The 13,910-nt window shown below is 44.7% G+C and overlaps 1 protein-coding gene and 1 long non-coding RNA gene across 2 annotated transcripts in view; one reads left to right on the top strand and one right to left on the bottom strand.

Moving 5' to 3' along the window:
* Positions 2,039-13,910, bottom strand: part of CNDP1 (carnosine dipeptidase 1) — a 52,713-nt gene continuing 40,841 nt past the window's right edge. The window contains exons 8-12 of the mRNA NM_032649.6: positions 12,222-12,382; positions 10,924-11,088; positions 8,980-9,121; positions 5,543-5,690; positions 2,039-4,755 (exon numbers count right to left, since the gene is read on the bottom strand). Coding sequence (NP_116038.4) covers positions 4,689-4,755; positions 5,543-5,690; positions 8,980-9,121; positions 10,924-11,088; positions 12,222-12,382 — 683 coding nt within the window. The 3' untranslated portion in view covers positions 2,039-4,688. The remainder of the gene's footprint in view (positions 4,756-5,542; positions 5,691-8,979; positions 9,122-10,923; positions 11,089-12,221; positions 12,383-13,910) is intronic.
* On the top strand, positions 5,574-8,887 carry LOC124904324 (uncharacterized). Its single transcript, XR_007066415.1, has 2 exons — positions 5,574-5,756; positions 6,480-8,887. It is a non-coding gene; the product is annotated as an uncharacterized LOC124904324 (long non-coding RNA).

Raw genomic sequence — 13,910 nt, 5'->3', positions numbered from 1 at the left:
TGTGTGAAAGTGAAATCTTCCAGTTTTGCAATGTCAGCTTCCCATTCAAAAGTGCTTAGGACACCGTGAAAGCCACATCAGCGGGGGTGAGGGAGCCAGTGCAGGGCTCCCGGGCTTCCAGTTTGTGGCCTCTGAATGAAGGTGTGGCCCCTGGTAAGATACAAGCACTGCTGGGAAGCCTAACACATCGAACAGTTATTAGCCATTGACACCTCTGCATGGCTTGTTTTCTGTGCTTCTCCCCAGTACTAGCTGCTCCCAAGAAGGTTTCAAACTAGGAACAAGGTGAAGTGGAGAGTATAAAGATGAGAGAAGTCCAGGAAGGGTATAGCACACCTGGTAGGGAAGACCCCCAAAATCGCTGCTGCAAAGTCAAGAGGAAGATTTTAGCAATCATACTGATTATCTAATGTGTGTAGCAACACCCCACTGGATGCCTGAAGTACAGAGATTAGTAGGATATGGTCGCTAATATTATACAGCGTGAAGTTTAATAGGAGGGAGAGAGATGCACAGAAATCATGAGTGTGCATTGCAGCATGAGAATGGATGATACAAATGTTGAAATCATTCATTTCAGCACTTAAATGTTTCCTAATGACATACAGTATGCCTGGAACCTTCAAGACATCAGGATAGACAAAACAGACAATCTCTGCCTGTAAAGATGTTACAGTCTAGCAGGAGAGCTGGCAGTTTTCAAATTGTAGAAATACAATCATGCATCACTTAACAGGGATACTGAGAAATGCGTGTCTGGACATCTTCAGCCACCCTAGAGTGTACCCACACAAGCCTAGATGGCATAGCCTACTACACGCCTAGGCAGCATGGTGTGGCCTATTGTTCCTAGGCTATAAACCTGTGCAGTGTGTTACTGTACTGAATACTGTAGGCAGTTGCAACACAGTAGTAAGTATCTATGTAGGTAAACATAGAAAAAGGTACAGTAATAATATGGTATTGTAATCTTATGGGACCACTGTCATATATGTTTGTTGTTGGCCAAATTGTCAGTATGTGGTACTTGACTAAGTATTTAATGGCAATGATAATAAATGCGACAAAGGAACTATGGAGACTATGGTAGCATAATAGGGACACCTCACTTACTCATGAGGAATAAGAAAAAGCTTCCCTGAAAAATTACGACTAAGCTGAGATTTGAAGAATAATGTGGAGGGTGGGTGGGAGGGGTATTAGTGACACCAAGGGGGTTGTAAGGGTGTTGCTGGAGGAGGGAGAGACTCTGAGAAGGCTCTGAGGCAGGGAAGCTCTTGGATGTTTGCGAAACTGGGAGGATTTGAAGGATGGGGTTGTCAGGGTGTATCTAGTGAGGGCAGAGCAAGCCAGAAGAGTAAGCAGAGAGCAGGTTGAGCAGGACTTGTAGACCTTCTTGGGATGTCTGACTTCATCCTCAGACCATGTCGCCAGTTGAGAGCTTTAAGCAGGGTGAGAGGGACAAGCCAGTTGCCGCATGGCATGTACAGTGAGAGGGGCTGTCGTGTAAGCAGTGGCTGGTTAGGGGCCTCTGCAATAACCCAGCAAAACTGAAGAGTGTTGGCTTATGAGCTATGCGAGGTGACAGTGGAACTAGAAGGAAGTGGTGGCTTTTGAGAAACGGGCTGGACTGGCCCTGATATTGAATTGCATTGGAAAGAGAGGGAAGTGTGGAAGACGATGCAGGGCTCTGCTATCAACTAGCCGATGGTCCACTTACCAAGGTAGGGAGCACCAGAGGGGTAACAGTCTCGAGGAATGGATGGAAGTTTTCATACTAGGTGAGTAGAGTTTCAGATGTGAAATGGGCAGGAAGATGGGTGGGCCTGATTCTCGGAAGAGGGGGCTGGGTTGGGAGTCATGGGCATCTGGCGAGTACAAAGGCCACGGAGTTCCCAGCATGAGTGTGAACAGTGAGAAGTGTCCGGGAGCAAGCCCTCGGGGGAGCCCTCGCTCACTCCCTTCTCCCAGCAGCAAGTGCAAAGGAACAGTGTCACTGACCAGGGCTCTCGCACTGTCTGGCACACAATCACCGAAGTTTCCAAGCCAGTACATTTTATTTTTATGAATACAACATAAAGCCAGAAACATTCCCAGCCTCATTGTTTTCCAGAAAAGCATCTACCAAACTCAAATGATATTCCTAACCCCTAAACTTATCACAATAGTTACGCTTTAATGCGCTACGTCTACTAACAAAGCCAGATACATTGCCCTCCTCCAATACAACAAAGTCCCCCTGATGGGCATGCCACAATGTACGCCCAACTTTACTGGGTGATCATTTTTGTCCAAGTGCATATATTTCATCATTAAAATGTTAAAAAACAAATATTTAAATTTCTCCCTTTTTTGCCTCCATATGGCTGGTTAATATATCTGAATAACAACTGAGTAGCTTTCTTTTATCCCTTTGAGTACAAGGAGCTTGGAAGATACTCCTTTCTGACTCCCACGTCAGGGTAGGGTCTGGATCACCACAGGGCTTAGAATTGGGTGGAAAAACAGGAGGGAAGAGCTGGGGAGACCAGTCGTGACCCTGGGTGACAGAAAAACATGGACTCTGAACTCTGGCAATCCAGGGTTGGAATATCCTAGATTCTACAACTTCCATAACTATTCATTCTCCTCCCCTTCTCTCCTGGCAGCAACGTAATAATTGAGACACTGCTGGTCTCAGATTCAGCAGGAATGAAGATCAGCGAATACATATTGTTGGGTAACTTCTTAAATCTGATGGTACATTAGCCAGAAATGCTTACAGTGTATTTTATAATAAACTTATGTTAATGGACTAACATGAAGACTCTAAATCTCTCTTACTGTTAGTCCTTATCTACAGTGCCAAATGCATCAGGTAGGTTCAACAAAATCGAGAAACACCACGAAACTCTGCATAATTAGATGAGCGCAAACTACACTTAATAGCACAAAATATCAAACACCTGCTGCTGTTCTTTAACGATGACTTGATATTCTATAGAATTGGAGATGTGATGGCTTGAAGCCTCCTGCTTCCAAAGAAAACACTAACTGGAATCCTTCACAAATGCCCACAACTAGGTTGAGCTCTCAGTTGGGTCCACTTCTATGACTAGAGTCAAGGTGAACTGAATCACTGCCTGCCTGCTCCAGTCCTTTTAAAGGTGGTACAGCACGTTTTTAAACTGACACTGACATCTCAAGAACCAACAGAGTGATGGAAAAAAGTTGAACGCAAATGTGTTCTGCTTTTTTTTTTTTTTTTTTTTTTTTTGGAGACGGAGTCTCACTCTGTCGCCCAGGCTGGAGTGCAGTGGCATGATCCCAGTTCACTGCAACTTCCGCCTCCTGGGTTCAAGCGATTCTCCTGCCTCAGCCTCCCGAGTAGCTGGGACTACAGGCATGCACCACCATGCCCAGTTAATTTTGTATATTCAGTAGAGACAGGGTTTCACCATGTTAGCCAGGCTGATCTCGAACTCCCGACCTCAGGTGATCCGCCCACCTCGGCCTCCGAAAGTGCTGGGATTATGGGCATGAGCCACCGCGCCTGGCCCTCTGCTTTGTTTTTATTTGGAGTCATAATAGAAAAAAATTTTAATAAGCCCCTAAATGATTCTCCATTAATGTGATTTAAATAATAAATTCATAAAGATTGATTTTGTTTATATACACTCAACTGTAGAAAAATGACTGTCTTTTTTTGTTGTTTACACCGTCAAATCCAATCAAGCCAAACATGATGGTTAACTAAAATGATTAATGAATGCAGCATTAGCTGATGGCTTTAAATTTAGCGTGTGTTACTGATGTCAGGGTTGATTAGTTCTCTATCTAAAACTGATGCTATTAAAAGCTTTGAGCAATTTAGATGTTGTCATTGAGTAAAACTTCAATGGGGTGAGAGAAATTCTATCAGGATAAATTCTGCTCTGGTGCAACCTGTGCACAGATGTTGGATAGAGAGAGAGTGGGCCTTTTCTGATGGGACAGGAAGAAGGAACGGGAGGCAGAGAAGCTGACAAGGTGGCATCGATCTCAGGAAAGGTAAAGAAGCTTGGAATAAAAAAAAAAATACTCATCTTTGCACAAGGACTCCCAAATGGCATATGGGTATGAATATTGATCATTTCAGCTTCGGAACTTTTCAAGAAGTGGGAAAAAATAAATGAAGGGGAGGCAAGAGGTTAATATAGTACCATGCCTTAGTAACTCCTCTGAAAATGAATCCATGGGGAAATCATTGTAGTCAGTGGTGGAGACCAACATTTTTATTAATAAGATAAAAGGAAAGAGTGGTAAAGCAAAGGCGATCATTGGATGGAATGATTATGTGTCACGAGCACTTGAGGACCTAGAAAGCAAACTGGAGTGATTATGCCAATCAAATTGCAAGGTTGGAGATATGCTAAAAGGTTTGAAGGAATCCAATCCTGGGGCTATTGCACAGGACTTGGGGAAATCAAGTTGCTGCAAGCAGCTATGACTTGAGGAAGGTGTGCAGTGGGGGACCTTAAACCATTTCCAACATCTGTGCCTTTGAAATATTTTATTACTGATCCAGATATCCCAAGACATTTTAAATGGAAGGGAAAATGTACTATACTAGACCCAAATTCTCTGGATATTTACATTCCATCCCTGTCTAGGGATGTGGGGGAGGTGAATCTGTCAGTGGATCAGATCAGACTAGAAGGTTCTTGTGATTAATGGAGCTGGGCCATCTCTAAGAAAAAGGCAGCAAATAATTTGGTTCCCTCTATGTAGTTCCACCTAAGAAGAGGAAAAACAAAGAGAAATTTTGTTACAATTTCCATTCAAATGAAGGAGGAAAAATATTCTGTCATTTAGACAGGAAGATTTGATGTTATAAATTCCATTTAAATTATTTAACATACTTCTGAGATCCCAGTATGAAAAGCACTTAGTAAGTTCCATGTGAAAATTGCATTATTATTATTAAGAAGATGAGAATCAGTCCTAGACTCAAATCCAAAAGTGAATTTTCCTTGATTTCTTATCACTGATATGGATATCAGGGTCAAACAATTTCTTGTTTCTCAGTAGTCTGGGATGCTTAGGAGATCTTGTAGTATCTGCCAGTAGCGCATAAAGCAAACATTCCTAATAGCCTTTTTTGTTATGCACTAAATATTTGTGTTTCCTCAAAGTCCTGTGTTGAACCCCTAACCCCCCAGTGTGTCTGTATTTGGAGACAGGGCCTGGAGGAGATAATAAAGGTTAAATGAGGTTAAAATGGGGGTCCTAATCCAATGGGTCTGGTGCTCTTATAAAAAGAGAGACACCAGAACCACCTAACCCCACCATCGCAGGGACGGCCAGGAAGACAGCCCATACCCACCAGGAACCAAATGGCCTGGCACCTGATCTAGGGCATCCAGGCTCCAGAACTGTGAGGAATGAATGTCTGTTCTTTAAGCTCCCAGTCTGGACGATTTTCCATTCTCACATAAATTGAACAGGAGCTCACCCACGTGTAGACCCGGGTGTGTGCAGTAAAGGAAGAAGAGAGAGGCACATTGCACAGGCATCAGCTGACCTGTTGATTTTCTCATTCTGCGAATGTTCTCCATCATCAACAGCTCCCAGCGGAATTAGCACCACGCTCTTGTGGACGATCTCCTGGAACATTTTGGCAATTGGAATGGTGGATCCATCCCGGATCATATCTGGTTCTGTTCCAAACACTGAGACAGGAAAAGAAGGCATTTGAATAGGGTAAGGACAAGAACACCCCCAGGAAGCTCCTCAAGGTCAGTGCCTCCTTTACCTTCCTCTCTCTTTTTCCTTGTTAATCTTTCTTTTTTTACCATTAGATTTGGTGCTTTGGGGTAAGGAAGCCCCTTGATATCATGCAATTATATTCTAAGATAGACACTAGAGTCAAGAAGAAAACTATGGATGTCTTCTTCACAATTACCTACTTTAAAAAAGATTTTAGAGCCAGGTGCAGTGGCTCATGCCTGTAATCCCAGCACTTTGGGAGGCTGAGGTGTGCGGATCACTTGAGGTCAGGAGTTTGAGACCAGCCTGGCCAACATGGTGAAACCCCGTCTCTACTAAAAATACAAAAATTAGCTGGGCATGGTGGTATATGCCTGTAATCCCAGCTACTCAGGAGGCTGAGGCAGGAGAATCGCTTGAACGTGGGTGATGGAGGTTGCGGTGAGCCGAGATCTTGCAACTGCACTCAGGCCCGGGTGACAGAGCGAGACTCTGTCTCTAAATAAATAAATAAATACAATTGTAAATAAAAATTTTATTTTGAACTAATTTTAGAAAAGTGTAGAATTTAGAAAAGTTGCAAAAATAGTAGAGAGAGAGCTCCCATCTATCTCTTACTCTGCTTTCCCTGATATGAACGTCTTATGTAACTATTGCAAAATGATCAAAACAAGGAAACTGACAACGGTGCAATGTTGTTAACTACACTCCAGACTTTCAATTTCACCGGTCTTTCCCTTTTTCCCTTCCAGGATCTGATCCAGAATCCACACTGCATTTTTATTATTGCTTCTTAGTTTCTTGTATGCTGCAGACGTTTCTCAGTATTTCCTTGTCTTTCATGACCTTGACCATCTTGAAGCTTATCAGTCGGTAGTTTTGTAAAATATCCCTCACTCTGGGTTTGTCTGATGTTATCTTGTGATTGCAAGAGGTCATGCATTTTTGGCACGACACAAGACAATGTCCCTATATTGTTTCTTCATGAATTAAATATTATGGAAGTGGGACTTCTTTGGGTTTTTTGGTGACAGATATGCCAATAGCTGTACTATCGCTCAAATGTCACAGTGTTTCTAGCAATTTTCAAAGTATTGCACAAAATAGTTTTAACTGCTATCGTAGGTTTTAGAAAGAGATGAGTTCAAACCTTCTAGCTTACCGGACATGCTGCCAGTGATGGAGTGGGATGAAAAATGAAACAAAGAAACCAGAGAGAACATGCCACCTCTTCTTTATTCACAAAGAAAGATGTGGACGTGAATCGAAGTGATGTGCCTCGTTCGCAGAACCAGTTTAGCACACAAATAGACCGAAAGGTGTCTTATGCATTCCTGAAAGGCTATTTCAGACCTATTTATTGTTGTCAACCTGGGTATTTCAAACACACACCTCTCTTCAGCTGCCATTACATTTCTTCAATCCTAAAGTTTACTGGCGAAATACCTGCTAAGGTTGGGGGCAGCAGGAATGGTGATGGAAAGAAGCATGGCTCCCTGTCTTGGACTTGATCTGTAGTTTTCCGTGTCTGTGTCCCTTGTACTGATAACCCTGAGAGAGAGTTAGTGCTTCAAAGAGATCTGGGCTTCCCTTTCTGGCTTTGCCACCATTAGCCAATGTGGCCTCAGGCCTCATCTGTAATAGGATGCCATAGGTCTACCTAAATGCATGCCACTGCTTTTCCACCTAGCTTTGGGAGAGACCTAGAACCCCCTGCTTTGGGAAGAGCCCCCATTCTGCTATTGTTGGCAGGGTCCCCCTCCTGGTGCAGAAGCCAAAAAGACTGGGTGTCCCTGCTCCCTGACGCCACAGCCAGCACCCAAGTACACGCCCTCTGCTCAGCCCAGCACATGGCTCTACCCAGGACCTTGAAGTGCATGGAATTAAAACAGGCACCACCAAAGAAGTTCCAAATAGAGCTGTGCTGCCTTCTGGGGAAGCAATGTGGCATTGTGAAGAGACCACTGGCTTGAGGGTCAGAAACACCAGAACTGGGTTTCTCATGTGTTTTGCAATTGTGTACAGTGAGCTCATCTCCAGGAAGCTCCTGTGGAATCTCCTTGGCCTGCCTGGGGGCTGTGTCCTCCTGGGCAATGCTGTGCTTGCATCAGCAGGCAGTCCAGCCATGGCACTAGTGAGAACCAGACCACACACTAGGTAAAATTAAACACCCAAACCCACAGGAGCAAGGGTCCATGGTTAAAAATTCTCAGGGGAGACCTTGTGTCCGTCCAACGTCCAAGCAAAGGCAGTCAAGCTTACACACACACACACACACACACACACACACACACACACACACACAGGATAGGTGTGGCTCTCCGGGGATGCCCTGCCTGTATATAATGGGTCTCATTTTCAACTTCCTGCCTCACTCTGGCCCAAGGCCATTAAAGCCCCAGTCTCTTTGTGACCAGGAAGAGCAGATCCCTGCCGGCCAGCCCAGGGTCTGCTTATTTACTCCCCTAGAATTTAGCTTCTCCTTCATTTTCAACCCTGAAGGATTTCCTCTGATGTCATACAAGCTAAGCTGTATTTTTTGTTTTTCATTTTTTGAGACAGGGTCTCACTCTGTCCCCCAGGCTGGAGGGCAGTGGCATGATCATAGCTTGCTGCAGCCTCAACCTCCTGGGCTCAAGCCATGCTTCTGCCTCAGCCTCCTGAGTAGCTGGCACTACAGGCATGTGCCACCACGCCCAGCTAATTTTTATATTTTTTATAGAGATGGGGGTCTCACCATATTGCCCAGGCTGGTCTTGAACTCCTGAGCTCACGCGATCCTCCTGCCTCTGCCTCCCAAACTGCTGGGATTATAAGCTTGAGCCATCACACCTGGGCTAATCTGTGTTTTGAAAGGATGTTTTTACATGTTGGCCAACATTTCTATGAGTTTGTATTCAGGGGGAGGGGGTTGAAGATTTTCTAGTCCATCATTTTCTTCAAAATTCAGGTCTCCAGACTTAAATTTGAACACAGGCTTTGCCCCTTGTGAGCTGGGCACCCTTTGGCAAAATACTTCATGTCTGTAAGCCTGCATTTATTCCTCTGTTAGATGGGGAAGGCCATTGGGAGGATGACTTGAGATGGCGTGTATAGCGTGCCCTGCACATGGCATGCATTCAACAATGTGCTCTGTATTAAAAGGAGAGTTGATTTCTGAGTTTTAAAAGTGTCTGCTTTACCCACGGTCCCACGGGTACCACCCCTGAGTCCCAGTGCAGATTGGCCAGTCAGAAGATCTTAAGGTCCCACCTGTTCTGATCGCTCTTTTTGCTGCGAGATACTGGGTGTCATCAATATTTGCAATCCACGGGTGTAGTCCTAGAGTCATGGAAACAACCATCTTGTTGGAACTATTTCTTTTGGAGAACACATCTTCAAGATGTCGTGTCACCTAAAAGGTGACATTTTCAATGATAAGAGAAAGTGTCAAGTTATTCTCTCATACAGTTAATATAGTCTTCCATCAAGAAACTGATTAGTACAGTTAATATAGCCTCTTCCATCAAGAAACTGAAGCCCCAGCCTGACACACGCAAGTGTTGTGATTTTCCCTTCACTCTGCCAGAGGGCGAGAGTGAGATCCTTCTTCAGTGCTGACAGCAGGAAACCCTGAGCTGTACCCAGAGGGAGATTCCCCTCTATCCTCTACCCTGCATTCCTGGCCCCGGCCCACCCCCTTCCAACCACAGCATCTCACACACACAGAGGTGCTGGAGCATCACTTGTTGAAAGTGATGAAGCCTAACACAGCAGGACTTCTCTTTTGAATCGTCCTCTTTTTGGACTCCTCAGTACCCTGTGAATGATTTGGAAGCATTAAGTATTTGGGAAATTTCCAAGACGTGGGAGCAACTCCAGGCTCAACTATGGAGAGCCTCATTTCAGCCTCGTTCTCTCCCCTCCTGCTCTTTTTTCATTGTTACTGTTGAGAGTCTCCCGGGGAGGTGCCATATTCAAATTTCTTCCATTAATTACTTCAACACACATTTATAGAACACGTGTCATGTCCCAGAGACTGTTCTAGGTGCTGCGGATACAGCTGTGAACAAGACAAGGAAGGCCCTGCCCTCATGGAGTTTATATGTTGTGAGAAAAGGGGGTAGCACCTCCAAAAAGAAAGAAGGGAAGGGAGGAAGGAGAGAAAGATAAAAGGAAAGGGAAGGGAGGGGGAGGGGAGGGGGAGGGGATGGAGAGGGGAGGGGAAGGGAGTGGGGAGAGGAGAAGGAAGGATGGAAGGAGGGCGGGAGGAAGGAACAGGAGGGAAGAAAAAGGAAAGGAGAGGGGAGGTGAGGGAAGGGAAGGGAAGGGAAGGGAAGGCAAGGGAAGGGAAGGAAAGGGAGAAGGGAGAAGGGAGAGAGGGAGGAGAGAGGGCAGGAGAGAGGCAGGGAAGGAAGGAAGGAAGGAGGGAGGGAAGAGAGGAGGGGAGGAAGCCGGGAGGGAGAAAGAGAGACTACTTTAGAATGTAATTAGTGCTAACAAGACAATAAAGGGGGATAATGGGATGGAGAGAGAATGACTGTTGGGATGAAATATTTCTTTAGCTCATTCATTCAAGAGTCTACTTTCTGTTAAACTAACTTGAGGCAAATTGATGATTGGTTGGTAATTTGGACACATAACTCCTTCTAGAAAATATTTTCCTTAAAATGACTGCTTCCAAAGTGTTAATTTCAGACATCATGAAGATCTAATGATTGAGGCCTGAGACTTTCTGCTTCTGTCCAAGCATAGGCAGGTCCCTACTCCATCTATGTGTAAACCAATCTTGCTTTTATATCTACCATCTAACTTTCAAATTTTCCTAGCACACTAGTTTCAAATGGTTATTTATCTGACTGCTGTAATTGCATATACTTGAGGGAAAAGACTGGATTCTTTTTGTTTGTTTTTTTAAGAGACAGTGTCTTGCTCTGTCACCCAGGCTGGAGTGCAGTGGTGCTATCATAGCTCACTGCAGCCTTAAACCCCTGGGCTTAAGGGATCCTCTAGCCTTGGTCTCTCAAAGTGCCGGGATTACAGGCACAAGTCACTGCACTGGGCAATATTGGTTTCTTGACATTTGTTCCACTCCTCTTGTGTTGGAAAAAAATGATACTCCAATGGTAGCAACCTCACTGCTCACTAAGCCGTGATGTGCGGGATTCAGAAACCATGTTACTGAAACATGTTATTGTCACAATAAGCATTTGTTACCTGTTTTTCCACCGCAGACACATTCATGTGAGGGACTAGACGGATTGAAAATTTTCCTATAACTCGGCCAGGTATGACTGTTTTAGTTCCAGGCTCATCAAACGCGCCCTCGATCCCATGAATAGAAAGAGATGGGTACCTCCAGAGGTGCATTAGAATCTCCTCCTATATTAAAATAAAATTATCCAAAGGATGCTTAATTAGAACCCAGTGGACCTGGGTTGCTTGTGTTACCACCCTCTGCCTCTCTGAGACACCATTCAGGACACGTTAACTGTCACCTTACTCAGCTGTGCCTCACGCAAGGACTTTTTCCTCAGGACACAAACTCTCTGCTGTCCTCAGATGCCTTCACTACCCATCACTACCAATGCTCCCCATTGATGAGTGCCCCTCTTTGCCCAAGATCTGCAGTTTTCAGTTAACAAATGGCAAAGGGGCCCTTTCAAACGAGATCGGGCACGTTCAGTGTGGTATGGCCATAGATAAAGGAGCCCTTTCAGAAACGTGGGTTCAATTATAAATTTCTAACCCCAAATTACAATAATAACTTATGTAATGAAAGCATTTTCTTATTCAGAAGACATCAAATAACTCTTCAGATGTTTAAGCCAGTTTTCTTTCTTCTGGCCATCCTGGAGCTGGTCTGCAAGAAGATGCCTGCTTCATAATAATTCACTCTACCGCTTCTTTTCAGCTTGCTTTTCCCCCTCTCGGCCCCTTCCCCAGGAACCAGCCCTAGCTACCAAACACCTTGTCAGGCAAGCATGCTGCCCAGAAAGAGGAAGAAGAGAAAAGCAAAACAATTCGAAATTTGCCTGTAAGGAATGTTTTCAGCTTTGTGTTTACTTAGTCCACTGAGACAATGATGTATTCACTTACAGATTAGCCCCTAAGGCTCTTGGTTTTGTCTGGAAAAATGAACAGTTAGAGGTCTTGGAGCTGGAATCATCTCAGACTTTTCTTGGTCTTTGAAAAGGTAAGAAGTCCAGCTCACTGGCTGAAGGCTGACGTGGGATTTAGGTTAATGAACAGCTTTGGAAAACATGGCTGGGAAATGGGTAACTGCTTGTGGTTAAGTGCCAGAAGCCAGTGCCAATTAGACGCCATTGAAAAAGGACTGGTTGATCCAGCCCACGGGGAAGTGGCTGTGAATGTCAAAAATATGCCTGGGAATTCACATCTGCTTTGGATTCTAAGATACGGAGATTAGCACCAGACAATGACTTAGACAGAGGGCAAATATGATATACTAGCCTCATGCCTCTTCCAGCTTATCCATCAGTCTGTGGCCATACCTTAGTATCGAACAGAAATTTCTCAACCCGGCTGCTATTCCGGTATTCTTCTAGGTCTAGATGGATGGCTTTGTATGTATTTATTTCCTCTTCTGTAAGAGGAACCACTTCATCATAGATTCCAGGGACCAGGATATGACCAGACGAGTCTACCAGGCTACCTACAAAACACACACAGAAAACAAAGCCAGGTAGAAAGGAGTGTGCCAATGTTGTGGTCCTGGAGCCAGACTGTGGGAGGACTCTTCAGGGTTGCAGCAGGCCTCTTGACTGTCTGGGTCCCCGTGGCCAAAGCCATTGGCAGCAACTCCATCCAAGAAGTGACTGTCAGAGAAAGGAGTTGGTCACCAGGATCACGCAGCTGGAGTCCGCCCTGCTTTAGTGTTCACCTTGTCAAAGGTGTGGCTGAAAACACCTGGGCCTGCAACAAATGAGGTCGGAGTGAGTTACCTGCATCATGTTCACGTTCTCAGCTATGCCTTTTATACATAAACAAGGTTTTTTAGTTTTGTCTTATCCTGATTTTAAAAGTAATATGTGTTCATTATAAAACATTTAAAATACATGCTGGGTGCGGTGGCTCACATCTGTACTCCCAGCACTTTGGGAGGTCAAAGCAAGTGGATCGCTTGAGCCCAGGAATTCCCAACCAGCCTGGGCAACGTGGCGAGACCCTGTCTCTACAAAAAATACAAAAATTAGCAGGGCATGGTGGCACATGCCTGTGGTCCCAGCTACTTGGGAAGCTGAGGTGGGAGGATCATTGATCCCAGGAAGTTGAGGCTGCAGTAAGTCATGATCACATCACTGCACTCCAGCCTGGGTGATAAAGTCAGACTCTGTCTCAAAAAAAAAATTATACGGCCAGGCGCGGTGGCTCATGCCTGAAATCCCAGCAGTTTGGGAGGCCGAGGCAGGTAGATCACAAGGTCAGAAGATTGAGACCTCCAGGCTAACATGATGAAACCCTGTTTCTACTAAAAATACAAAAAATTAGCAGGGCATGGTGGCACGTGCCTGTAGTCCCAGCTACTGGGGAGGCTGAGGCAGGAGAATCGCTTGAACCCAGGAGGCGGAGGTTGCAGTGAGCCCAGATCACGCCACTCTACTCCCACCTGGGCGACAAAGCGAGACTCCGTCTCAAAAAAAAAAAAAAAAAAAATGTATACACACACACACACACACACACACACACACATGTATACACACCTACATACATACATACCTGAGAAACCAAAAATTTTTGTCATCCCTTCTCAACTTCTCTTCCCCTTCACACACGCGCACACACGCACACACACACAGAGTATATTATAATAAAGACTCATTTTTAATTAAAAGCATTATACCCTTCAGGTCTACTCTATGAGATACCATCATGACCACAAAATCCCCTGTATACACTAGTGTGCTCTTCATGAAAGAGTTTGGAGATCAATACAAATGGAAAAAATCATCACTAAATATCCATAAGAGCAGCAGATGTTGAGATTTAGTAAATACCGCCCACTCTCTGTAGAAAATACGTATCAAAGGCAAAATGCAGCCAGGAAGTAGACTGATATAAATGACACAAAAATGTCTCCAGGGCAGCTTAATGAGTCCCCACTGATAATGCAGTCATGAGATCTCCTCTTGAGCATATGTCCCTAAACTTCTGCTGACAGTCTTCTGCGTAAGGACAGAGTT

Source organism: Homo sapiens, chromosome 18, assembly GCF_000001405.40.
Source record: "Homo sapiens chromosome 18, GRCh38.p14 Primary Assembly".
In the NCBI taxonomy this organism is placed as follows: Eukaryota; Metazoa; Chordata; class Mammalia; order Primates; family Hominidae; genus Homo; species Homo sapiens.
Note: the sequence above shows the minus strand (reverse complement) of the source record. Positions and strands in the feature narration are given on the sequence as shown.